A 27,434-nucleotide genomic window follows, 5' to 3' on the forward strand; every position below is an offset into this window, starting at 1 on the left:
TCCAGGAGTTCAAGACCAGCCTTGCCAGCATGGCAAAACCCTGTCTCTATAAAAATATAAAAATTAGCTGGATGTGGTGGCACACACCTGTAGTCCCAGCTACTCAGGAGGCTGAGGCATGAGAATCACTTGAACCCAGGAGGCAGAGGTTGCAGTGAGGTGAGATCATGGCACTGCGCTCCAGCCTGGATGACACGGTGAGACTCTGTCTCAAAAAACAAACAAACAAAAACCAATGCTGGTAAGGATGTGGAGTAAAGGAAATTCTTATACACTGTGGGAATGTAAGTTAGTACAGCCTTTATGGAAAACCTTTATGGAGGTTTCTCAAAAACTAAAAATAAAACTAGCATGTGATTCAGCAATCCCACTACTATTTGTCCAAAAGAAAGGAAATGTGTGTGTCAAAGGAATATGTGCACCCATGTTTAATATAGCACTATTCACAATAGCCAAGATAGGGAATCAATGTAACTGTCTATCAACATACAAACTGATAAAGAACATGTGGTATACATGTATAGGAATACTATTTAGCCATAAAAAAGAATGGAATCATATCCTGTGTGGCAACACAGATGAGCCTGGAGAACCTTAAGTCAGGAACAAAAAGACAAATATTGCATGTTCTCATTCACAGGTGGGAGCTAAGAAAAAAATTGAGTGAATGGAAGTATAGAGTAGAATTGTGGTTATTAGAGACTGGAATGCATGGGAGAGGGGAGGATAGGGAGAGGTTGGTTAAGATACAAAATTACACCAGGTGCGGTGGCTCACGTGGTCAGGAGCTTGAGACCAGCCTGACCAACGTGGTGAAACCCTGTCTCTGCTAAAAATACAAAAATTAGCTGGGCGTGGTGGCACACGCCTGTAATCCCAGCTACTTAGGAGGCTGAGGTAGGAGAATTGCTTGACTCGGGAGGCGGAGATTGCAGTGAGCCAAGATTGCGCCACGACAATCCAGCCTGGGCGACAGAGAGAGACTCTGTCTCAAAAAAAAAAAAAAAAAAGATACAAAATTACAGTTAGGTAGGAGAATGGGATCTGGTGCTCTGTAATTCTGTAGGGTGAATATGGTTAACTACAATTTATTACATACTTAGTGTCAAAGAACTAGAAGATAAAAAAGTTAGTACTGTGTAAGTTTCCCCATACAATGGAAAATAGAGCTTTAAAACACAGCCTTAATTCTCCAACAGCTTACATTACCATTAAGTTGGAGAGAGAGGGGAACACTCACTGCACAAACAGTAAACAAACAAAAAACACTACAAACACACATATACTAACCTATAAAATGAGGCTGATCATCCCTGACACACATGCCTCAGATGTGCTACAAGGATCCAAAGGGACTTACATACATCTTAAGCAAAGTTCTCTTGGATTTATCTACATATTTATTGTGGACTTATTATTATTTATTATTTATTGTAGATTTATCCACATATTTATTGTTCTCTTGGATTTATCCACATATTTATTGCTAGGAACCTTTCTAGGAATTTAGGATACATTAATGAGGACACAAAGGTTCTGCTCTTGGTTTACAGTTCAACAAGGCAAGGGGATATTGGTAATCAACAATATCCCCTATATTTAAGAAGTGTAGGACTTGTAGCCCCAGCTACTGGGGAGGCTGAGGTGGGAGGATCACTTGAGCACAGGAGGTTGAGGCTGCAGTGAGCCGTGATCCTGTCACTGAACTCCAACCTGGGCAACAGAATGAGACTCTGTCTCAAAATAAATAAATAAATAAATAAATAAAAATTTAAAAGGCTATGCTAGAAGATGTTAAGTGCTACAGAGAAAACAAGGCACAGGCCAAGGTCAGGTGTGCTGAGAATGGTGGTGGGGAGCGCAGAGCAGGTTGGCTGGAGAAAGGGCCGTGTTAGTACTGGTTTGGAAGGAGGTGAAGGCAGGAGCTATATGACTACCAGGGGAAGACTGCCGCAGGCATAGCCGGGGCAAAGGCCCTAACGTACCCAGGGACCAACAGGGAGGCCCGAGTGGCTTGAGCAAGAGAGTGATCAGTGAGTAGGAGAAGGCAGCAGGAGAAGCTAGAGACGACTGAACTTTACAGGCCACAAAAGACTAAGGCTTTGGGGAGGAAGAGGAAGAGAAAAAAAATAAAAATAAAAAAGATTTTTTAAAAAAAGGTTCTGGCTGTTCTTATTCTAGAGGATGGGGTAGCCATGAAAGGGCCCTGGGTGCAGGGTGACAGGCCTGTCTATGTTACCGGCTGCCAGGCTGAGAATAGACAAGGGATCACAAACGCTCCATTATCTAGCCTTATATTCAGGAAAACAACAACAAAGGCTCAGACCTGGGCAATAGTACCAGCAGCAATGGCATGTGGCTGGACTCTCAAAAGCATCTGTGAAGGACTGCAACAGACTGCACAAAGTGTCTACAGACACAAGCCAAAATAAGTTCAAGTTTTCCAGGTTCAATCAGTTGCTCCTGTCTCAGATAGGGAGGTCTGTGGGTAAAGCAAGACTTGAGGGAATCGTGAGCAAATTGGCACTGACAGACTGGCCCGAGACCCCTACCCTTGGATATGCTAAGCCAGCACGTGAGCTGGAAGGGGTTTGGAGAGCTAATAAAGGCAATCCTTCAACGCGTATAGGAGAGACCACTGTCGGCAACTTCCCTAAAGATACATGCTCTACAACCTCCACCTGACACCACAGTGTACTCACAACAAAGACAGAATCAACTTGCATTTTCTCCATAATGCAAAGAAATGATGGTGCAGGTAGACCTGGAAAACCCAAGAGATCAACCTGAAAACTATCATAAACAATGAGAGAATTCAGTAAGCCGGGGACATACAAAGTTAAAATCAGTAACTGCCTTCCTATTATACAAATAGGTTAGAAACAATGGAAGGAGAGAGCTCCGATTTGTAGTAGCAACAAGAAAAATAATATGTTACAAATGTGCAACACCTATTTGAGAAGAATTTTAAAATACTGAATCTGATTAAGACTTGAAGAACTGAAAAGGGCTGGGCACAGTGGCTCATGCCAATAATCCCAGGACTTTGGGAGGCCAAGGTGAGAGTATCACTTGAGGTCAGGAGTTCCAAGCCAGAAGTTCAAGACCAGCCTGAGCAACACAGTGAAACCCCACTCTACAGAAAATTTAAAAATTAACTGGGTCCAGGAGCATGTGCCTTAAGTCCAGTTATTCAGGAGGCTGAGGTGGATCGCTTGAGCCCAGGAGTTTGAGGCTGCAGTACACAGCAGCCTGGGTGACAGAGCAAGAAGACCCTGTCTCAAAAATAAATAAATAAATAAATAAATAAATAAATAAATAAATAAATTTATTTTAATTTAAAAGAAATCTATTTCTGGATTTTCAGAGAGGAAAGAGTTAAAAAAAAAAAAGGCTGGGTGTGGTGGCTCATGCCTGTAATCCCAGCTCTTGGGAGGCCAAGGCAGGCAGATTACCTGAAGTCAGGAGTTCGAGACTAGCCTGGCCAACATGGTGAAACTGTTTCCACTAAAAGTACGAAAATTAGCCAGGCGTGGTGGCGCATGCCTGTAATCCCAGCTACTCGGGAGGCTGAGGCAGGACAATCGCTTGATCCCGGGAGGCGGAGGTTGCAGTGAGCCAAGACTACACCACTGCACTCCAGCCTGGGCAACAGAGTGAGGCTCCATCTCAAAAAGTGTATATATATATTTATATAAAAATTTTTATATAAATATATATTTATAATATATGCCTTATTATAATACAAATATAAATATTTATATTTATATATATAATAAAAAATGTTTAAAGGAGTATTCTATCTTAGGCAGAAAGGCTTAATTTTTTTTTTTTTTTTTAAGAGATGAGATCTCACTATGTTGCCCAGGCCAGTCTCAAATCCTGGGATCATGTGATCCATCTGCCTCAGCCCCCCAAAATGCCAGGATTATAAGCATGAGCTACCATGCCTGGCCTTTAATATAATTTTAAAAGTCAATTCTCTCTAAATTAACCTATAAGTAAATTGAGGTTCAAAACCAGTTGATTCTGTGAAAAAATATTTATGAAATAACAATCAGGAAAATTTTGAAAAAGAACAGTGAAGGACAAAACTTTCCAGAAAATAGAACATAATAATTAAATAGTCTAAAATAATTTAAGGTTGCTCATGAATATACAGAGAAATCAGTAAAAGGAGATCCCAGAAATAGGTCCAAATGCAGTCAAAAATTTCATCACTGATCTAGGTCGCTTTGAGTATCTGGAACTTATTCAATCACAAAAACCTGGAAAAAAAATTAAGGTAGGTCCCTACCACTTCATTCACCCAAATGAATACCAACTGGATCTAAGATTAAGTTTTTAGTGCCCTAAAAGAAAGTATTAGAGACCCTAAAAAGTCACAATAGGCTAAGTGTGGTGGCTCACGCCTATAATCTCAGCACTTTGGGAGGCTGAGGTGGGAGGCTCTCTGGAGCCCAAGAGTTCAAGAACAACCTGGGCAACATAGTAAGACCCTGTCTCTACAAAAAAAATTTCTTAAAATCCACAATAGCCAGGTGTGGTGGCATGCGCCTGTAGTCCCAGCTACTCAGGAGGCTGAGGCAGGAGGAATACCTGAGCACAGCAGATTGAGGCTGCAGCGAGCCATGTTGTTGCCATTGCACTCCAGCCTGGGAGACTCAGCAAAACTCTGTCTCAAAAAGAAAGAAAGAAAAAAAAAAGTCAGCCGGGCGCGGTGGCTCATGCCTGTAATTCCAGCACCTTGGGGAGGCCAAGGCAGGCGGATCGCTTAAGGTCAGCGGTTCGAGACCAACCTGGGCAACATTGTGAAACCCCATCTCTACTAAAAATACAAAAATTAGCCAGGCATGGTGGTGCACGCCTGTAATCCCAGCTACTCAGGAGGCTGAGGCAGGAGAATCGCTTGAACCCAGGAGGTGGAGGTTGAAGTGAGCTGAGATCACACCACTGCACTCCAGCCTGGGCGACAGAGTGAGACCCTGCCTCAAAAAAAACCAAAACAAAAAAAAAAAAAAAAAGAAAAAGAAAAAAAGTCACAATTCAGCAAATTTAAAACAGAACCACCACATCTGACCTACAGTGAGAAGGATGCTCCTAGCATACAGGTAGGTCTCTGTCTCTTTTTTTTAAAGACAGGAGACAGGGTCTCATTGTGTTGCCCAGGCTTAAGTGCAGTGGTATGATTATGGCTCACCGCTGCCTCAAACTCCTGGGCTCAAGCCATCTTCTGCCTCAGGCTCCCAAAGTGCTGGGATTACAGGCGTAAGCCACTGCACCTGCCATTAAATCCTTTAAAGGAAGAGTTCCTTCTAAGTTATTCCATTTTCAGGCATTTTTTGTTAAGCCATAATTGAAGGTATCGTCCACTCTGTCAACACAGCTTCTTACTCACGTGGGCCATGTGAGCCCATCCTTACTTCAGCTTTATCAAAGGGTTCTGGAAGATACTGCATGTGTTCTGTAATCACAACAAAAACTACAGAATCCAACACTTTTGTTTGTGCCTCAGCAACCAAATTTAAACCAACTATAATCATCCTGAATTGGGTCATTTTGCATTTTATCTTAAACTGCTTAGCCAGGCCTAGGAGCCCTCCTCTCTATACTAGAAATAACAGTCCTTATTGAATAGGTTGCTGTGAAGATTAAATAACTTAATATACGCAACAGCATTTAGAATAGGGCCTGACAGCACACTTGTTGGGGGTGGGCAGGATCTAAATTTAAAAGAACATTCCCTAGGACTGGAAAGTCCCTGTCACTCGTGGTTCCGGATGAGAGGCTCTCCCCTGAGCTGGGGTGGGCTCTTCAGTCCATCCCCATGGAGAGGTCAACGGCATGGCTGTTGCATCCCATGAAGTCCTGGTGCACTCTGCCACCCATGGGCAGGTGAGTGAAGTTTGGAGAGCTGTCCTAAAGAACCAGGGACACTTCTGGCCTTTTCTATCCCTGCTAGTTCTCCCGTACGTCCAGCGTAGGGAACACTCTGGGTGGCTGCTGGCTTTTTGGGCAATCCCACATCCGTGAGCAGAGAGCCAATACAAAGTCTCAGTCCTGCTGGCAAAGCTAGGTCCCTTCTGCAGAAGTCACAGCAGCTACTGAGCAAGATAAGGGTCCTGCTGGACTTCTCCCAAGAGCAAAGATACATCTTGAGTTCTTAATGCTTCCTTCTCAGTGTGGTTTACGGGGCCCCCTTTCCCCTTCCCCCAGTGTGGCCAGAGGACCCATCTTTCACCCAGTGTAGAGGGCCTGTGAGCTCTAGGGCTGTGGCCTGGCCCATTCAGACCAGGCCGGGCCTCCAGTGGGAAAGCTGAGCCTTTCCCTTCCCATAAAATGACAGTGGTGGGAGAGAATCTTCCTGGACAGCAAAGACAAAAGGTTAAAAGTCAAGTCAGGTACTTTTGACAGCCAATGGATGTTAATGGGGGTGCTTTCAGCTTCCAAGGTAGATGAGTCCTTGAGAATTCCCAGGAGCCGAGATGTTCCTGAGAGGAGCAGCCAGGAGGGTGGATGAGGTCTCCAGCTGAATGTTTAAAGGAACAGTGGGCTGGGGAAAGGACCTGAGGAGGTCACTGGGGAGGAGAGAGGAGCAGGCGAGAGGAAAGAAAAGGAGTGGAGGGGAGGAACGGAGACAGAACAGAGAAGGGAGGAGGAGAGGGAGGAGGAGGGGAAGGGAAGGGGGAGGAGAAGATGGTGGAGAGGGAGGAGGAGGGGGGAAGAAGAGGGGCAGGTGCCAAGGTGCGTGTGCCCTCCTTCCTCAGGCAAGGACTCAGTCCACAGAGGAACAACTGGCCTTGGGTTTGTCGTCCAGTGATGGCTTCTCCTCTACCCCAATTAGCCACACATTCCTGGGTTTCAATCACTCAGTCACCTCATCCACTACCATGAGTCCCACCTCTATATAGCTAAGCATTCTCCACAGCCCCACTCGGACCCCACAGGTCCTTCCACCCATTCTGTGTCCGAGCTCCTCCCTTCTAGGGCAGGTCTTACTCCATTTCTCCTGGCCAGAAAGGGACCATATTTTCTGAAACAAAGCGCTGAGGAGTGAGAGTTACTTATGGAGATCAACTTACTCACTTGCTGTTACCCACTGGATCAAAGAAAAAAGCGGAATCTTTCTAAGGGAATACAGAGGTCAGGGATGAAGTTTCTATCTTTAAAGACCGGGTAAGCGAAGATGCCATTAGCATCCTATTTCTTGACTCAATTATTCCATCAGGCAGGCAAAACTTTTCATGTATGATGTCATCATGTGTTGGGAGGTACAGAGAATCCTTAAAATCTGGTGGTGGCAGGGAAGGTGGTACAATCATTTAAGAGGATCATTTGGCAGCATCAAGTTACAACAGGCAGGAAGAACAAAAAACAAAAGCAGGCCCTCTGCTCAAGCAGTCCAAGTCTTTGCAGGTACTCTACATGTCCAGAGTGAGACACAGATGGGCAGCATTATCTTAGAGAAAACCGGGAACATTCTTAACTGAATAATGTAACCATGCCATGGAATATTATATGTCTGTCAAAATGTAGGTAGACTGGGCACTGTGTAATGTGCTTATAATTCCAGCAATTTGGGAGGCCGAGACAGGAGGATGGCTTGAGCCCAGGAGTTCAAGATCAACATAGGCAACATAATGAGACCCCCACTGCTATTAAAAAAAAAAAAAAGAGAGAGAGAGAAAGAGAAAGAGAGAAAAAAAATGTAGGTAAATCAAAAACAAAAAACAAATGTATGTGGATCTGTTCCTTGTTCTGGCATGGAAAGAATTTCAAGGCATATTGTTGGGCAAATAAGCAAGCTGCAGAACAGTATGATAGCATTTATGTAAAAACAGAGCAAGGAACAAACTTAGTATGTAAATGCAAAGGAAAACATCTGTCAGGGTACCCCCCCAAACTCAGATGGGAGGGAGGAGGGATGCTAGTTGTTTCTGTAAAGCTGTCACTCTGATAAGAATAAGTGACTATTTAAAATCTTTTTAAGATTTTAAGATCGGTGGTCTATGTAAAGCCAATTATACTTGATCTTTATTTATTGTTTTTCAAATTATCCATCAGTAACAATCTGAAAAATATAGACTTCACACAGCTAACCCAGGTTAAAGAAACTTGAGGAGCTGTATCTAGTGTAGTTGGAAATGAAAATCTGGAAATTTAGGATGAATAGTTGTAACATTGTTAAGGATAAGAGCCCCTTTGAAAATCTGTTGAAAGCTACAGACCTTGTGCCCAGGAAAATTACACACTACTCCCAATGCTGCATACAATTTCAGAGAACAAAGGGACCCCCAGAAGCCCATCCATGAATCATGGAGCCTAAGTTAAGAACCTCTGATTCAGACAACAGTTAAAGCCACTAAAACAGATGTGACCATGCAGAGAACATGTGTTGGGACTAGCGGAGATGGATTATAGAGCCCAAGGAAACCCCAACAGTGAAAGAGCAGGCAGAGGAGCTGGCAGACAAGGAAGATCTGGGCAGTTGTGAGACAGCCAAGCAAGGGGCAAAGACAAGAGATGAGCTGTTGAGTGAGGCCTGTTCGAAAGAGGGGAGATGGCAGCATGAGCTGCTCCCTGTCTTCTGCCCTCTCTGCCGTCTCTATACTGCTGTCACATTGATTCTCTGAGAGCTCCACCAATGCAAATAGTTTCATTTACCTTCAGCGAGTGGTGGGCAGTGAGTCCACAAACGGGACCAGGTCCCATCATCTGGTCCCAGTCTCATCCTCTGAACTTGTCTCCACTTAGCTCCAAACACACTGGGCCATGGGGCATTTCTCAAACACATCTTTTCCTTTGATGCCTTCATATCCTTTGATTGCCATTTCCTTTATTTAGCACAATGCCTGGCATATTCATAAGGTCCTCAAAAATGGTCAGCGTTTCTTCTTTCCTTCCCAACTCATGGAGATTGTCACTTAATAAAAACATCAATTTGGAGACTCCTCTATGACTAGCCCAGTCCAGATCACCAGTCCCTTCCCATCCCTGCCCTTTATCTGTGGACTTGCTCCCTAAGATACCTAGTGCAGTAGCTTAAATGTTTGCTAGCTGGCTGACTGAGATAGCCCTGAGGGTCTCAGAAAGCACTGTCTTCCTAGCTAGACTCTGATCTACCAGGGAAGCCTGTAGAAGTGGACACTTAGGAGCTATGTCTGCCAGTGTACATAATATGTGCATAGCTTACCCCACAAAATGAAATAAAGCAACAGTCATGAGTCACTTAACAACAGGGATACATTCTGAGAAATGTGTCATTTGGCAATTTGGTCCTTGTGTGAGCATCATAGGGCAAACTTACACAAACCTACATCGTAAGGTGTACTATGCACCTAGGCAATATGGTACAGCCTGTTGCTCTTAGGCTACAAACCTGTACAGCATGTTACAGTATGAATACTGTAGGCAACTAACACAATGATAAGTATTTGTGCATGGGACCACTGTCATATAACGTGGTCCTCCGCTGTCATTTTGTGGTGCATGACTTGTATACTAAAGGTTTTGAGACCTCAGCTTTTGCAATGGATATCCCGCAGAAAATTATAGATTACAAACTGCAGACTCATGGGGGTCACACAAATAATCACAACCGCAAATACCAAATGTCACCAACTACAGGGACACAGTTTAAGCCCTACTGGCTCACAGAAACACCAGTGAAGCATTAAGTCCACCTCTGACCCATGTCTACAAAGTAGTGTACTTGGGCACCAAATGCACCACTATTTTTTTTTTTTTTAAAGCTTCGTTCAGGGCAGCCCCACACAGGTTCAGCCACCCTCAACATTGCCTCCAGGAGGCTCTGCCCACCCTTTCCTGACAAGGGGGAAAGGAATGCTGCAGGACCTTGAACCCCTAGGTCAATCAGCCTGGCCTTCCCAGGGATGGTTCCCTGCTTACTCTATTCATGAGCTCAAAGTGCTGGGTAGTCAGCTGGCAATGAAAAGGCCTGGTCCCGGAAATGACCACTGCCCCAAAGCCTAGAAAGACAGCAGGCGGGGTTCAAATTCAGCTTGCTTCATTCAGGCCCACTGTACTGAGCCAAATCACCCCAGGGCATGGCTCAGGCCTCATCTGGAGGAGGCACGAAATCCATGATCCCGGCCCCTTAGCACCGTCCCCTCCCCACCCCTACCACTGAACACACACCTGTAAAGCTCTTTGGGAACTGTTCTGAATGGCTATCACAGCCACTAGATCCAAGACCCTCTGAATGATGGGTAACAGTCAAAGAAGAATTTTAACAACTAAAGCGATGACCTTGAGCCTAATTTCTTTCTTTGTAAAATGAAAGTGTTGGACTGTCATTCCCAAATTTCAGTACTAGTAAAATTATCAAAACAAAAAACAAAAAAATAATGAATTACTGAGGTTTTAGTTTGCCAAGTGAGAATTTTTTCTCAAAAATTACAAACTATATGTGTCGCCATCATTTCCTAAAAGGAATAACATTTAAATCAAAAAAGTTGAAAAGAGGTAATATCAAAATAAGCGCAGCCACCCCAAGGCAGGCCGGTAGGCAATGGCCCCGACCAAGGAGATCCCGGAGCGGCTCTCCGGCTGTCAGCAAAGGGTCTGCATCTGCCCGGATCCTGACATTCTGGGTACGTCTCAACGACGCGGCAAACAAGCGTCCACTCCCAACGCGAGCAAGTTTAAAACCCAGGAACATCGATACCAGGCGCCGGAGCGAAGCATTTCCAGGCCTCCGCGGGTTGCCCCGGGCCGCGGCGAGGACCCGCACCCCGGTTCCCCAGCCGCTCGCCGGGCCCTCGCTCCCGCCGCGCCCCGGGCACCTCCGGGCCTCGCGCCCTCCCCGGATCCCCTAGGCCCGCGTACCCGGACCCCCGCATCCCGGGGGACCGCTGTCCTCCGCCGGCGCCCCCGCCCGCCCCCCACGCCCGCGCGGCCGGTCCGCCCAAGGTCGGCGCGAGCGGGCCGTGGGCCTGGTGGGCCTGGCGGGCGGGGGCGCCCCTGGCCGGGTCCGGGCCGCATCCCAGACCAGAGCCCGCAGGCCAGAGCCGCTCCGGGTCCCGCTCCCGTTCCTGCCGGCAGCCGCGGGGGCGCAGGGCCTGCGAGGCGGCACTCACCCGGGCGACGCCATGAGCGCAGCGAGGTCTCCGCTCCCGCCTCCTTCGCTTCCTCCGCGCGGCCGCGGCTCGGCGCCGGGGAGGGGCCTGGCCCGCCGGCCGCCCGCCCGCTCCGGGACGCGCTCCAGGGGTGGAGGTGGGGTGAGGTGGGGTAAGGTGGGCCCGGGGTCCTCTCGGAGCAGCCCGGGGACAGCTGGGGCGGGGTGGGGGCGGGGCGGCCCAGGTCAGCCCGCAGCCCGCCCAACGCCCACCTGCCCAGGTGCCTGGAGGCCGGAACTCGCCGGGCGGTGCCTGCGGTGCCAAAAGCTGTAGGATAACCTGCCCCAGGGCCTTACTGAACTTCACACCTTTCTGTAATTGGAGTTTAATTTCTGTAAGAAAAGGCTTTTCTTTAGCCCTGAAGCGTAAGGCCTTATTATTAAGCAAAACAATAACTTTCCTACTTCTTACTTGCAGTGCTGTGTTGGACGAGTTGCTGGCCTCTCTGAGACGGTACCCATTGTAAAATGTGTATAAAGTGGCCTTGTGAAGCTCTAGGCAATGCGAAGCACTTTTATTATTCTTTATAGTGTGTTATTAAGAAAAATAATGAATCTGCAGTTCCTCCAGTGAGGTTTCACAACTATTCTTACAAGTTATGAGTCCTTAGGCAGGTAGATTTTTCAGCTTCAGTTCTTCTCTCTGCAAAATGAGTTTCCAAAAATGATCTAAGTGAAAATGCTTAATAAAAAGCTCTGGACAATGTAAACCATTGTTGATAACATTTTTAGTATTATATTAAATATCACTGGCCGAACGCAGTGGCTCACGTCTGTAATCCCACCACTTTGGGAGGCCGAGGCAGGAGGATCGATTGAGCCCAGGAGTTTGAGATCAGCCTGGGCAACATATTGAGATGACCCCCTGCCCGCCCCGCCCGTTTCATTTTTAAAAATAAAATTAAAGTTAAAAGTAAAATATCATTAACAACCACTATTTAAAAATGTTTACTACTATTAAGAATACAAGACAGCAAAGCAGTGATTAAAACCTTAGCTCTGAAGCCAGAATACCTGTGTTGGAATCTGGGCTCCACCAATTACCAGCCCCAGGAGCCCCTGCAAGATAGAACCTTTCCAGGGCCACAGTTCCTTATTTGAAAAATAAGGCTAAAAATAAGTCCCTTCCTCTCTGTGAAGATTAAATGAATTAATATTTGTAAACATTTGTAACTATTTTTAAATGTTAGTAAACATTGCGTGATGCATGGTCTCTTTTCCTCCTGGGAGAATCCAGTCAATGTTTCTGAGCCTCCTTGTCCTCTTCGGTAAAGAAATTCATAACTGCTACCTTGAGTTCAGAAGATAATTAATGCTCTGTAAATGGGAGCTGATAGGTAAAGCCACGCGAACTTGTGACACCCAAAATAAGGACAAATCCAGGAGGACCAGAGTTAGGAAGAGTTTGAGGAATGGGAAATCCTAAATCCTAAATGCCTGATTCAAGGGAGTAATGAAATGAAGGAGATCAAACTAAAAGAATTTTTTCTTTGTTTGTTTGAGACAGGGTCTTGCCCTGTCACCCAGGCCAGAGTGCAATGGCGAGATCTTGGCTCACTGCAACCTCCACTTCCCGGGTTCAAGCAATTCTGCCTCAGCCTCCCAGTAGCTGGGACTACAGGCGCCCACTACCACACCTGGCTAATTCTTCTATTTTTAGTAGAGACAGGGTTTCCCCATGTTGGTCAGGCTGGTCTCAAACTCCCAACCTCAGGTGATCTGCCTGCCTCAGCCTCCCAAAGTGCTGGGGTTACAGGCGTGAGCCACCATGCCTGGCCTAAATAAGCATTCTTTTAAACATAAGGAATACATGTTTACTGACATAAAATCTGGTTCAGAAACCAATAACCCCAAAATATGGCACTTTAACAAGCTGAACTGAAGAAGTCTCAAGGTCTCTCTGATCTCCCTCCCCACTGGTTTCTCCCAAAACAGAAAATGTCTTTATCTGCTTAAAGTCCAGACCCTCCAAGGAGAACAACTGTTTTTCTTGCCCTCCCTGTAAGACCAAGAATGTAACCACACCTGAAAAGACCCTTTCATAGGATAGCGTACAAGTTAATCTCTGTGCCCTGATCCATTCCTTCTCCCTAGTAATCCTTTATTGCCCCTTGAAAGAATTCCTCTTTCTCCCCTCCTGTAAGTTGTTTTGCCAAGATGGTCTACAAGCTTCTGAACCTTGTTGGGTGGTGGGAAATCATTCTGTAATTCTCCCTGTGCACACATTCATAAAATTTGTATGCCTTTTCTTCAATTAATCTGCTTTTTGTGAGTTGATTTTTCAGTAAATCTTCAGAGGGCAAGGAGAAACTTTCCCGTGGCCCGTACACTTAACATGAATTTTAGCATCCCACTATATGGTTAGACCATCATGTTTAACCAACCCCTACTGTTGGACATAAATATTGCTACCAGTATTTCATTATTATAAGGAATGTGAGTAATAAATATCCTTATAGCCAAAACATCCCATAAACATCAATGATTATTTCCTTATGCCAAATTTTGAAGAGTTGAATTTCTAGATCAATAGGATATCAGTATTTTAAGGCTCTTCTGAAACATATATACTCTGTGTATGTGTATGTGTATACCTACACACATACACAAACACACTAATATACATATACTTAAATACATAATACACATACACACATATGTATACATATACCTACACACATATATACAGACACACAAATATACACATACACAACATATACACACATATATACAGATTGCCTTCCCAGCACAATCACCTGATAGTCCTAGTTTTCCAAAACACTGTGTAACTTTTACAATTTTTCAAAATCATTGCCAACTTCATAGGTTAAAAACCAGTATTTTAGGCCAGGTACGGTGGCTCATGCCTGTAATCCCAGCACTTTGGGAGGCCGAGGCGGGTGGATCACTTGAGGTCAGAAGTTTGAGACAGCCTGGCCAACATGGTGAAACTCCATCTCTACTAAAAATACAAAAATTAGCTGGGTGTGGTGGCGTGTGCCTGTAGTCCCAGCTACTAAGGAGGCTGAGGCAGGAGAATTGCTTGAACCCAGGAGGTGGAGGCTGCAGTGACTGCAGCCACTGCACTCTAGCCTGGGTGACAGACTATCTCAAAAATAAAAATAAAAAATAATTTAAAAAATAATAATAATAAATAAAATTGGCCAGTGCTGTGCCTCACGCCTGTAATCCCAGCACTTTGGGAGGCTGAGATGGGTGGATCACTTGAGGCCAGGAGTTCAAGACCAGCCTGGCCAACATGGAGAAACCCTGTTCTCTACTAAAAATACAAAATTAGCCGGGCGTGGTGGCACATGCCTGTAATCCCAACTACTCGGGAAGCTGAGGCAGGAGAATTGCTTGAACCCGGGAGGCAGAGGTTGTGGTGAGCCAAGATCGTGCCATTGCACTCCAGCCTGGGCAACAAGAGCCAAACTCTATCTCAAAAAAAATAAAAGACACCCTGTTACAAGAGACATATAAGAAAATTGTAGGCTGGGCATTGTGGCTCACACCTATAATCTCAGCACTTTGGGAGGCCAAGGCAGAAAGATCACTTGAGGCCAGGAGTTCAAGACCAGCCTGGGCAACATGGTGAGAACTGATCTATTTATTTGTTTATTCATTTATTTATGAGACACGGTCTCACTCTGTTGCCCAGGCTGAAGTGCAGTGATGCAGTCATGGCCCACTGCAGCCTCAACTTCCCAGCTCAAAGTGATTCTCCCATCTCAAACTCCTAAGTAGCTGGGACTACAGGCATGTGCCACCATGTCTGGCTAATTTTTTTTTTTTTTTTTTTTTTTTTTTTGTAGAGACAGGATTTCCCCATGTTGTCCAGGCTGGTCTCAAACTTCTGGGCTGAAGCAATAACCTGCCTCAGCCTCCCATAGTGCTGGTATTACAGATGTGAGCCACCATGCCTGGTCCCATCTTTTTATTAAAAATTTACACTAAAATTTTTTTTCAAAAAGTCCTGACATGGTGGCTCACACCTTTAATCCCAGCACTTTTAGAGGCTGAGGTGGGAGGATCACTTGAGCCCAGGAGTTTGAGATCAGCCTGGGAAACATAGTAAGACCTTGTCTTTACAAATAATAAACACAATTAGCCAGGTGTGGTAATGCATACCTGTAGTCCCAGCTACTCAGGAGGCTGAGATGGTAGGATCTCTTGAGCCTGGGAGGCTGAAGCCACAGTGAGCCAAGATTTCACCACTGCACTCCAGCCTGGGTGACACAGCAAGACTCTTTCTCATAAAAATAAATAAATAAAAAGAACATTACATATTGATAAGAGTCAATTCACTAAGAAGACATAACAATGATAAACATGTATGCACCAAACAAAAGATCCCCAAAAAATATGAAGCTAACATTGACAGAATTAAAGAGAAAAAATACAGACTTCTACAATAAAAGTTGGAAACTTCAATACCCCACTTTCAATAATAGTACAATCAGACAGGAGAACCATAAGAAAATAGACAGCCTGAACAGCACTATAAATAAACTGGACCAGCCAGTCACGGTAGCTCACACCTGTAATCCCAGCACTTTGTGAAGCCAAGGCAGGTGGATCACTTGAGGTCAGGAGTTCGAGACCAGTAGGGCCAACATGGTGAAACCTCCTCTCTACTAAAAATACAAAAATTAGCTGGGTGTGGTGGCGCACACCTATAATCCCAGCTACTCGGGAAGCTGAGGCAGGAGTATTGTGTGAACCCAGGAGGTGGAGGTTGCAGAGAGCTGAGATCATGCCACCGATTCCAGCCTGGGTGACAGAGCGAGACTCCATCTCAAATAAATAAATAGGGCCAGGCGCGGTGGCTCACGCCTGTAATCCCAGCACTTTGGGAGGCTGAGGAGGGTGGATCACCTGAGGTCAGGAGTTCAAGACCAGCCTGGCCAACATGGTGAAACCCCGTCTCTACTAAAAATACAAAAAATTAGCCAGGCGTGGCGGTGGATGTCTGTAATCCCAGCTACTTAGGAGGCTGAGGCAGGAAAATTGCTTGAACCTGGGAGGTGGAGGTTGTAGTTAGCCAAGATCTCATCATTGCACTCCATCCTGGGCAACAAGAGTGAAACTCTGTCTCAAATAAATAAATAGGACCTAACAGACATATGCACAGCACTACTGAACAACAGCAAAATACATGTTCTTCTCAAATGCACATGGAACACTCTCCAAGATAGACCATATGTTAGGTCACAAAACAAGCCTTAATACATCATAAAATAATAAAATCATATAAAGTATCTTTTTTGATCATAATGGAATGAAACTAGAAACTAGACCTCACAACAGGAAGAAAACTAGAAAATTGACAAATGTGTGGAAATTAAAGAACACCCTTAAGCAACCAATGGACCAAAAGAAAAAAAACACAGGAAATTAGAAAATACCTTGAAAAAAAATAAAATATACCAAAACTTATGGGATGCAGTGCAGTCAGTTCTAAGAGGGCAATTTATACTTTAATGCCTATATTTAAAACAAAGAAAGATCTCAACTCAATAACTTAGCTCTATACCTTAAAGAAAAAGAAAATGAAGAGCAAACTATATCCAAAGCTAGCAAAAGGAGGGAAATAATAAAAATTAAAGTAATATGGGCCGGGCGTGGTTGCTCATGCCTGTAATCCCAGCACTTTGGGAGGCTGAGGCTGTTGGATTACCTGAGGTCAAGAGTTCCAGACCAGCCTGGCCAACATGGTGAAACCCTGTCTCTACTAAAAATACAAAAAATTAGCCAGGCGTGGTGGCGCACGCCTGTAGTCCCAGCTACTCGGGAGGCTAAGGCAGGAGAATCGCTTGAACCCAGGAGATGGAGGTTGCAGTGAGCTGAGATTGCACCACTGCATTCCAGCCTAGGCAACAGAGCAAGACTCCAAAATCAGGAAGTGTAAGTCCTCCAGCTTTGTTCTTTTTAAAACTGTTTTGGCTGTTCAGGATCCCTTCAGATTCCATATGAACTTTAGGATGGGTTTTTCTATTTCTGCAAAACCATCGAGATTTTGATAGGGATTACATTGTATCTGCAGATCACTTGGGGTAATAGTGACATCTTAACAATATTGTCTTCCAATTCAACCCATCAACATAGGATGTCTTTCCTTTTATGTATTTATTCTTTAATATTTTGTAGCAATTTGTATGACTCCCTTCAGCATTTCTTGCAGGACCAGTCTATTGGTAATGAATTCCCTCAGCTTTTGTTTTTCTGTGAATGTCTTAATTTCTCCTTCAATTTTTTTTTTTCTTTTTGAGACAGAGTCTCACTCTGTTGCCCAGGCTGGAATGTAGTGGCATGATCTCAGCTCACTGCAACCTCCACCTCCCGGGTTCAAGAGATTCTCCTGCCTCAGCCTCCCATGTAGCTGGGATTACAGCCATGCGCCACCATGCCCAGCTAATTTTTATATTTTTAGTAGAGACAGGGTTTCACCATGTTGGCCAGACTGGTCTCCAACTCCTGACCTCAAGTGATCCACCCACCTTGGCCTCCCTAAGTGCTGGGATTACAGGTATGAGCCATCCCGCCCAGCCTCTCCCATACTTTTGAAGGACAATTTGCCAGATATAAGATTCTTGGTTGACAGTTTTTTTTGTTTGTTTGTTTTTTGAGACGGAGTCTCGCTCTGTGGTCCAGGCTGGAGTGCAGTGGCGCGAACTCGGCTCACTGCAAGCTCCGCCTCCTGGGTTCACACCATTCTCCTGCCTCAGCCTCCTGAGTAGCTGGGACTACAGGCGCCTGCCACCACTCCCGGCTATTTTTTTTTTTTATTTTTTATTTTTAGTAGAGACGGGGTTTCACCGTGTTAGCCAGGATGGTCTTCATCTCCTGACCTTGTGATCTGCCTGCCTCGGCCTCCCAAAGTGCTGGGATTATAGGCGTGAACCACCGCACCTGGCCCTGACAGTTATTTTCTTTAAGCACTTTAAATATATCACCCCACTGCCTGCTAGCCTTAAAAGTTTCTCATGAGAAATCTGCTGATAATCTTATTAAAGAGCCCTTAAATATGATGAATCACTTCTCTCTTCACACTTTCAAGATTCTCTGTTTTTGGCTTTCGAAAGTTTTATTTTATTTCATTTATTTATTTATTTTTGAGATGGAATCTCGCTCTGTTGCCCAGGCTGGAGTGCAGTGGCATGATCTTGGCTCACTGCAACCTCCGCCTCCCTAGTTCAAGTGATTCTCCTGCCTCAGCCTTCCAAGTAGCTGGGACTACAGGTGCACATCACCACGCCCAGCTAATTTTTGTATTTTTAGTAGAAACAGGTTTTTACCATGTTGGCCAGGCTGGTCTTGAACTCCTACCCTCAAGTGATCCACCTGCCTTGGCCTACCAAAGTCCTGGTATTATAGGTGTGAGCCACTGCACCTGGCCTATTTTATTTGTTTTTTTATAGAGACTATCTTGCTCTGTCACTCAGGCTGGAGTGCAGTGGCGTGATATTAGCTCAAGCTGATTTCTTGGGCTCAAGCAATCCTTTGGCCTCAGCTCCCTAAGTAGCTGGTACTACAGGTGCTTGCCACCACACCTGGCTAATTTTTGTATGTTTTGTAGAGACGGGTTTTGCCAGGGTGGCTTTTGAAAGTTTAATTATGGCTGGGTGTGGTGGCTCACACCTGTAATCCCAGCACTTTGGGAGGCTGAGGTGGGGTGGATTGCTTGAGCCCAGGAGCTTGAGATCAGCCTGGGAAACATGGTAAAACCGCATCTCTAACCACCCTCAAAAAAAATTTAGCCGGGTATGCTAATGCATGTCTGTAGTCCTAACTACTTGGGTGCCTGAGGTGAGAGCATCTCTTGAGCCTGGGAGATGGAGGTTGCAGTGAGCCAAGATCATACCACTGTACTCCAGCCTGGGTGGCAGGATGAGAGTGTCTCAAAAAAATAAAAAATAAGAGTTTAATTATGTGTCAGTGTGGATCTCCTCTCTGAGTTCATCTCACTTGTGTTAGAGGCATTTGAATCACAGCAACTCCATCTTGAATAGAGGCTGAGTAAAATAAGGCTGAGACCTACTGGACTGCATCCCCAGATGGTTTTGTTCCTCAGATTTGGTAATTTCCATTGTTCTATCTCCAAGTTCACAGATTCTTTTCTCTGTTCAAATTTGCTTTGAATCCCTCCAGTGCATTTTTTATTTGTTATTATACTTTTCAGCTCCAGAATTATTTTTCGGTTTCTTTGTAGGTTTTCTATCTCTTTACTGATACTACTGATAGAGATAGGAGACAGCCATATGCCGCACAGGTCATGGTGCACAGGGTACTTCCCTAAACATGCCCATGGTGAAAAATTCTGTCCCTTAACACAAATGCAGTAAGGGAAATCAATGTGGAGTGGCTCAGACTAACGGCCCGCATGCGCACTGAAGAATGGGGGTGGAGCCACCAGGAATTCACCCCTTATGCTGGGAGAGGAGCCTGGCCTCTTCAGCTCATGTGTGTTGGCCTGGTATTCAATCTGTGAGGTGGGAGCCTGTTGGCAGGACCCTCTCTTTTTTGCTGAGATGAGAGCTTTCTTTTAATAAATTCTGCTCTCCTCACCTTTCACAGGTGTCTGTGTGCCTAATTTTTCCTAGTTGTGAGACAAGAACCCAGATTTAGTGGAGCTAAGGAGCAAAAAATCCTGCATCATTTTGGTGGCCCATACAGGGACATGAGGAGGGATGAGTAAAATGCACACCAAAAAAATCTGTTTCCCTTTCCTTTTTGAGCTTTCTTGTCCTCAGCCTTCTTCTGAGGATAGAGGAAACTGCACCCCCTCACCCCATTGCTCTCAGGGACTGGGAATGTCAGCCTTGGTCCAACTCAGCCTTTTCTATGGCATTTTCCTTCTGTTTGCAGGACTGTAATGGCACTTATCTTTTACAATATTGGGGGTATTCCACCCCCACCTCAATGGCTGCAGATGCATGCATGGGACGGACAGGCAAGTGGTGGCTCCCTGCCCCTCCCAGCTGGGGCTGGGGCTCATGGCCCAAGGGCCCCATGCAGCTGTCTGTCCAGTGTTCCACACCACATACCATGGAGTCTTCCCCTCCTCCTGCTGAGGGGTCCAGCTCAGTCCAAACCCCAGGGTAGAAACAGCAATTAAAAGTTTCTTGGCCAGGCGCAATGGCTCATGCCTGTAATCCCAGCACTTTGGGAGGCTGAGGCGGGCAGATCACCTGAGGTCAGGAGTTTGAGACTAGCCTGGCCAACATGGTGAAACCCCGTCTCTACTAAAAATACAAAAATTAGCCGGGCATGGTGGCATGCACCTGTAATCTCAGCTACTCGGGAGGCTGAGGCAGGAGAATCACTTGAACCTGGGAGGTGGAGGCTGGAGTGAGCCAAGATTGTGCCACTGCACTGCAGCCTGGGCAACAACAGTGAAACTCCATCTTAAAAAAAAAAAGTTTCTCTCCCTGTTGGAGAAACTCATTTGCATAAGAATAAAAGGTTTGTTCTCCGGGCATCTTTTTCTTTTCTCCATCCTGTCAGCAGTTAACAAAGCCCTGCATTTACGCTGTTTTTCTTTTCCTTTTCTCCACCAGGCCAGGAATAGGTTGGTGCAAAAGTAGTTGCAGTTTTTGCTATTACTTAGAACGGCGAGGACTGTGACTGTTTTTGCACCAACCCAATAACATGGCCCTGCAAGTAGAGGGGGCTTCTCTACGCTACAGGCTTTTTTCCTTTTAGAAGATGTTTTACTCAGCCAGGATCCCAACTCAGAAGACACCCCTTTTCTCTCCCTTGTTGGAGAAGGACTCAATTCCACAGCTTGACCTTAGCATTCAGCTTGGTAAGGAGTCCATGCAACATCCTGAGGCAGTTATTTTGACCCAAACTCAATTCCAAGCTTTGGATCGAAGCCCTAGGAAAGAAAACTGGATCTGAGGGATCCAGAGGCAGACGACAACAGAAGTGAAAAGGTACAGCACAGGTAAGCATGACTAATTTCTGCGGATTAAGCCAAGCCTCATTTCATGGATAAAGGTCATGCTAGTATCCATGGCATAAATGAGGTCTAGGGAATGCAAAGGCTATTGACAACAGAGAAGATAAGGCATATATGGGTAAGAGCAGATAATCCCACTCCCTACCCACCCCCCCCCCCCACATAACATGGGTGAAAGCCACTTTGACACCCATGGGAGGCATCCTGTCATGGTTGCCGGGACTCAGGGATACAAGGACAAAAGAAAGAGGGACGCCTTGCTTTCTCTCCCTCATGTACCTCGGGTATTTGCTAGGAAGAGAAGGGAACCAGGGACGCCTTGCTCCCCTCTTTCTAGATGAGTAGGCATACATCTTTCAAATGCATCCTGAGTCCTGGGGCTCCTTTAAATAAATGCCTTCTTATTCCTTTCTCCTCCTCTGTCCTCTCTTTACAGATGGGTGATTGTGTCCCCATGCTGTGGGATGCTCTCCTGGGATGTATCCTCCAAACTGGGAGAAGTTAATTTCCTAAACCTTAAACTGGTTGGCTTGGGATTGAGCTCAGCAGGGAGGGAACTCAGAAGCCTGACATGTCAGCAAAAGGGTAGGAGTTTTTTTGTTTTTTGTTTTAACCAGTCAGGATTTTGACCTCTGTCTCCCTAAACAAACCAGAAAGGGAATGATAAGGATCACTGTTTATATTATCTGTAAAGTTTTAATTAATAAAAAAGGATTTGTGAGGTTGGTCTTAAGCTGTAGCCAAGCTGGTGTGCTCTGCATGTCTCTCCGTATAGTTCTGTCAGAAAGAGGGGTACCTTGGGATGGGATGTGGGTCTAGGACTCCATAGGCCTGCTGTTGAAGCAAGCCCAGCAAACTGGCCAGTGGCAAACTTTGCTGCAGGCCTCCATCTGGTTTTACGTCCTTGGAAGCGTGACCTGTAACCACATGGCAGTGCTTTGTTTTAGCTTCTGCCATTTTACAGTGGCAGCCCGGGTTCAATCCTGGCTTAGGGAATGAGTCCTTTCTGGCTTGATATCTTTGTGACCTTTATCATTTGTTGATTCTCTTCCCCTTCATGAACCACCTTAAATTTTCCTTTCTCTGAACACCTGGGAGGTTACCTTTGGTAATGTTCAGAAGCCAGAAATATTGGCTGCTTGGCATGGCTAATGTTGGGTAATAAAGGATTTAAAAGGATTTTCTTGGCCAGGTGTGGTGGCTCATGCCTATATTCCAGCAACATAGTGAGACCCTGTCTCTATAAAAAATAAAAAATTGGCTGGGCATGGTGGCATGTAGTCCCAGCTACCCAGGAAGCTGAGGAGGGAGGGTTGCTTGAATCCAGGAGGTTGAGGCTGCAGTGAGCCATGATTGTGCCCTGTATTCCAGCCTGGGTGACAGAGCAAGACCGTCTCAAAAAACAAAACAAAACAAAACAAAAAACACAGCTGGGCATAGTGGTTCACGCCTGTAATCCCAGCACTTTGGGAGGCTGAGGCAAGTGGATCACTTGAGGTCAGGAGTTCTAGACCATCCTGGGCAACATGGCGAAACCCTGTCTCTACTAAAAATACAAAAATTAGTTGGGCATGGTGGTGGGTGCCTGTAATCCCAGCTACTCAGGAGGCTGATGCAGGAGAATCACTTGAACCCAAAAAGCAGAGGTTTCAGTGAGTGGAGATCACACTGCTGCACTCCAGCCTGGGCAATAGACCTCAAAAAAAAAAAAAAAAAAAGAAAGAAAAAAAGGATTTCCTTTCCCTTTCCTTTCCCTTCTCCTTTCCCTTTCCTTTCTTTTCTTTTTTAGATGGAGTCTTGCTGTGTTGCCCAGGCTACAGTGCAGTGGCATGATCTTGCCTCACTGCAACCTCCGCCTCCTGGGTTCAAGTGATTTCCAGCTAATTTTTGTATTTTTAGTAGAGATGGGGTTTCACCATGTTGGCCAGGCTGGTCTTGAACTCCTGACCTCAAGTGATCCGCCCACTTCGGCCTCCCAAAGTGCTAGGATTACAGACATGAGTCACCACACCCAGACCCCAAAATAGGATTTTCTTAAAGAGCGCTCAGCTTAATTAAAAGTGGATATCTGGGGGGCTGGCACGCGGCAGCGTTGCGGGTGGGAGCGGCTGCAACTCTGGTGCCTGAGGAGCGATACCAAGAGAAATCATCACCCACAATTGGGCCAGTGCAGCAATCAGATTGGGTTCGAGTTCTGGAAACAGCTGTGCACTGAGCATGGTATCAGCCCCAAGGGCACCATGGAGGAGTTCGCTACTGAGGGCACTGACCACAAGGACATCTTTTTCTACCAGGCAGACGATGAGCACTACATCCCCCGGGCTGTGCTGCTGGACCTGGAGCCCCAGGTGATCCACTCCATCCTCAACTCCCCCTGTGCCAAGCTCTACAACCCAGAGAACATCTACCTGTCGGAGCATGGGGGAAGAGCTGGCAACAACTGGGCCAGCAGATTCTCCCAGAGGGAGAAGATCCATGAGGACATTTTTAACATCACAGACCAGGAGGCAGATGGTAGTGACAATCTAGATGGCTTTGTGCTGTGTCAGTTCATTGCTGGGGGGACAGGCTCTGGCCTGGGCTCCTACCTCTTAGAATGGCTGAATGACAGGTATCCTAAGAAGCTGGTGCAGACATACTCAGTGTTTCCCAACCAGGACAAGATGAGCAACGTGGTGGTCCAGCTTTATAATTCACTCCTCACACTCAAGAGGCTGATGCAGAACGCAGACTGTGTGGTGGTGCTGCACAACACAGCCCTGAACCAGATTGCCACAGACCAGATCCTGCACATCCAGAACCCATCCTTCTCTCAGACCAACCAGCTGGTGTCCACCATCATCTCGGCCAGCACCATCACCCTGCGCTACCCCAGCTACATGGACAATGACCTCATAGGCCTCATCGCCTCACTCATTCCCACCCCATGGCTCCACTTTCTCATGACTGGCTACACCCAGCTGACTATGGACCAATCAGTGGCCAGCGTGAGGAAGACCATGGTCCTGGATGTCATGAGGTGGCTGCTGCAGCCCAAGAACGTGATGGTATCCACAGGCCGAGACCGCCAGACCAACCACTCCTACATCACCATCCTCAACACCATCCAGGGAGAGGTGGACCCCACCCAGGTCCACAAGAGCCTGCAGAGGATCCGGGAATGGAAGTTGGCCAACTTCATCCTGTTGGGCCCCACCAGCATCCAGGTGGCCCTGTCGAGGAAGTCTCCTTACCTGCCCTTGGCCCACCGGGTCAGTGGGCGCATGATGGCCAACCACACCAGCATCTCCTCACTCTTCTAGAGAACCTGTCGCCAATATGACAAGCTGCGGAAGTGGGAGGCCTTCCTGGAGCCGTTCCGCAAGGAGGACATGTTCAAGGACAACTTTGATGAGATGGACACAACACATCTAGGGAGATTGTGCAGCAGCTCATGGATGAGTACCACATGGCCACATGGCCAGACTACATCTCCTGGGGCACCCAGGAGCAGTGAGTCCCCTAGGACAGGGACCCTCATCTGCCTTACTGGTTGACCAAGGCCCTGCCTGACTGACCACTCACTTAGAGCACAGATCAGGGACCTCACACATCTCTTTCTCATATACATGCATTTTCTGTTAGTCTGCGAACACATTACTTCTCCTCTTATGAGACTATTTATCTTTAATAAAGCAGTGGATATAAATAAATTTTTTTTAAAAAGTGGATATCTGAGGGGAGTGCAGTGACACACTGGCAATCCCAGCGCTTTGGGAGGCTAAGGTGGGCAGATCACCTGAAGTCATGAGTTCAAGACTAGCCTGGCCAACATGGTGAAACCCTGTCTCTTCTAAAAATACAAAAAAAATTAGCTGGGTGTGGTGGCACTTGCCTGTAGTCCTAGCTACTCAGTAGGCTGAGGCAGGTGAATTGCTTGAACCTGGGAGGCGGAGGTTGCAGTGAGCCAAGATCGCACCATTGCACAACGGCCTGGGCAACAGAGCGAGACTCTGTCTCAAAAACAACAAAAAAAGTGGATATTTTTAAAACCTTTATGTTTTTCTCTTTTTGGATCTTGTTTTTCTGGAAAAAGATTTTTTTCTCAGTTGACTGAATTCCTTTTCTCCATTTTGTCTTGCTACCCTTAATGCATGCACGAGGCCCTAAAATAATTTCTGATGGCCTGGGACTCCTTGAGAAGAACAGAAAAGGTGCCATGCATGCCATTTTGGGAAAAACCTCTGTTTTTCTCATGAAAACCCAGCAATTAAAAGCAGATAGGTCCCCCTCAAAATCTGTTTTTGTCTTCCAGCTATCCCCATGTATTGGGCCCTGAAAACTGCATGCTTTCCTAGCCCTGCTCTTAAAGGGCCCCACTCGAGGCCAATAGTCCAATTAGGAGATTGGTGAACAGAAAATCTTGTAACTACTGGATCTGCTGCTGTTTGTCTGTGCAGTTATATGTGTTGTGTGTGATGTCTGTAAAAAAGAGAGCTCTAGGCCGGGCACGGTGGCCCACACCTGTAATCCCAGCACTTTGCAAAACCGAGGCGGGCGGATCACGAGGTCAGGAGATCGAGACCATCTGGCTAACACGGTGAAACCCTGTCTCTATTAAATATACAAAAAAATTAGCCGGGCGTGGTGGTGGGCACCTGTAGTCCCAGCTACTCAGGAGGCTGAGGCAGGAGAATGGCATGAACCCAGGAGGCAGAGCTTGCAGTGAGCTGAGATCACGCCACTGCACTCCAGCCTGGGCGAAATAGCGAGACTCCGTCTCAAAAAAAAAAAAGAAAAAAAGAGAGAGGTCTAATTAACTGGCCTAAAGGAAAATAAGTGCTTTGATCAGATATTTTTGAAGGGAAAATAAAAGCTGTAATACCTTTTAGTTCATGTGACTTTAATCCTTGAGAAATAAAAACAGTCTTAAAGATTACTGGTAAAATGCAAATGTGAACAGGTGGTCTAAATTATACGGGACAGATATTAGGTTTGCTAAATGTTTTACAGTTATAAACTTCTTCTTTGGACTTTGAGAACTGTTCAACTTGCCTACTTTACAACTTGGCAAGGCCCAGGACTTGGCAAGGGACTCGGTAAGGCTCTTAATCTTAGCAAATAATCATTAATCATATAATCTCAGTAAAATGTTCTAAGAAGGAATGGACATGGAAATTTTTGTCTAGGGTTAAAGGATTATTTTAAATTAGATAAGATAAAGCTAAAGGTTTAAACAAGTTGTGGAAGGTTTCTTGCAAAAGAAATTCTGTGTGTGAACACTAAATTCAAAAGGGTATTATGTTTTTCTGTAAATAATTGAGCATTGAAATACAAGCACGAGGTTTTCTTTTTCTTTTTTTTTTTGAGATGGGAGTCTCGCTCTGTCGCCCAGGTTGGAATGCAGTGGCACGATCTTGGCTCACTGCAACCTCTACCTCCCAGGTTCAAGCTATTCTCCTGCCTTCGATTCCTAAGTAGCTGGGATTACAGGTGCAGGCCACCATGCCCAGCTAATTTCCGTTTTTGTTTGTTTGTTTGAGAGTGGGTCTCGCACTGTCACCCAGGCTGGAGTGCAGTGGCGCGATCTTGGCTCCTGGCAACCTCCACCTCCCAGGTTCAAGCGATTCTGCCTCAGCCTCCCGAATACCTGGGATTACAGGTGTGCACCATCACACTTGGATAATTTTTGTATTTTTAGTAGAGACAGGGTTTCACCATGTTGGCCAGGCTGGTCTCGAACTCCTGACCTCAGGTGATCCACCTGCCTTGGCCTCCCAAAGTGCTAGGATTACAGGTGTGAGCCACCATACTTGGTATCACTTAACTTTCTGAGGAACTGCTAAACTCTTTTCCAAAAATGACTGCACCATTTTATAGTCGCACCAGAATGTGTGAGGGTTCCAACTTCTCCACATCTTTGTCAACACTTGTTGTCTGTCCCTTTAATTACAGCCATCCTAGAGGGTGTGAAGTGGTATCTCATTATGGCTTTGATTTGCATGTCCCTTATAACTCATGATTATTATTTTCTTGAGACAGGGTCTTGCTCTGTTTCCCAGGCTGGAATGCAGTAGCGTGAATGGGGCTCACAGCAACCTCAACCTCCTAGGCCCAAGCAATCATAGCTGGGACTACAGGCATGCGCCACCATGCTCTACTAATTCTTAAAATTTTTTCAAGTATCTGCTTTTGGTGAAGAAAAAAAATTTTTTTTCTTGTAGAGATGGGGTCTTGCCATGTTGCCCAAGCTGGTCCTGAACTCCTGGATTGGGTGATCCTCCCACCACAGTCACCCAAACTGCTGGGATTATAGATGTAAGCCACCACACCAGGCATTTTTTTTTCTTTCTC

General features: G+C 45.8%; 2 protein-coding genes and 1 pseudogene across 6 annotated transcripts in view, besides 2 other annotated features; 1 reads left to right on the forward strand and 2 right to left on the reverse strand.

The window, feature by feature from the left end:
* Positions 1 to 11,134, reverse strand: part of URGCP-MRPS24 (URGCP-MRPS24 readthrough) — a 40,039-nt gene extending 28,905 nt beyond the window's left edge. Inside the window, exon 1 of the mRNA NM_001204871.2 lies at positions 11,100 to 11,134. Within this exon, the coding sequence (NP_001191800.1) occupies positions 11,100 to 11,113 (14 nt within the window). The 5' untranslated portion in view covers positions 11,114 to 11,134. The remainder of the gene's footprint in view (positions 1 to 11,099) is intronic.
* URGCP (upregulator of cell proliferation) overlaps positions 1 to 27,434 on the reverse strand; it is a 50,814-nt gene that overhangs the window by 19,550 nt on the left and 3,830 nt on the right. For 3 of the 5 annotated variants that reach the window (NM_017920.5, NM_001290075.2, NM_001077663.3), the window contains exon 1: positions 11,100 to 11,134. The exons of 1 other annotated variant lie outside the window; for it this stretch is intronic. In NM_017920.5, coding sequence (NP_060390.3) covers positions 11,100 to 11,113 — 14 coding nt within the window. In that variant the 5' untranslated portion in view covers positions 11,114 to 11,134. Of the gene's footprint in view, positions 1 to 11,099; positions 11,135 to 15,268; positions 15,391 to 27,434 lie in introns of those variants that run through there. One more of the 5 variants, NM_001290076.2, reaches the window with a different exon arrangement.
* Positions 10,910 to 11,339: a silencer, noted in NCBI's record as "silent region_18131". NCBI's record gives its function as "represses an Ori minimal core promoter by ATAC-STARR-seq in GM12878 lymphoblastoid cells {active_cell/tissue: GM12878}" and the evidence as "EXISTENCE:reporter gene assay evidence [ECO:0000049][PMID:35858748]".
* Positions 11,400 to 11,559: a silencer, noted in NCBI's record as "silent region_18132". NCBI's record gives its function as "represses an Ori minimal core promoter by ATAC-STARR-seq in GM12878 lymphoblastoid cells {active_cell/tissue: GM12878}" and the evidence as "EXISTENCE:reporter gene assay evidence [ECO:0000049][PMID:35858748]".
* On the forward strand, positions 23,180 to 24,793 carry TUBG1P (tubulin gamma 1 pseudogene; annotated as a pseudogene).

Source organism: Homo sapiens, chromosome 7 (genome assembly GCF_000001405.40).
Source record: "Homo sapiens chromosome 7, GRCh38.p14 Primary Assembly".
Lineage (NCBI taxonomy): Eukaryota > Metazoa > Chordata > Mammalia > Primates > Hominidae > Homo > Homo sapiens.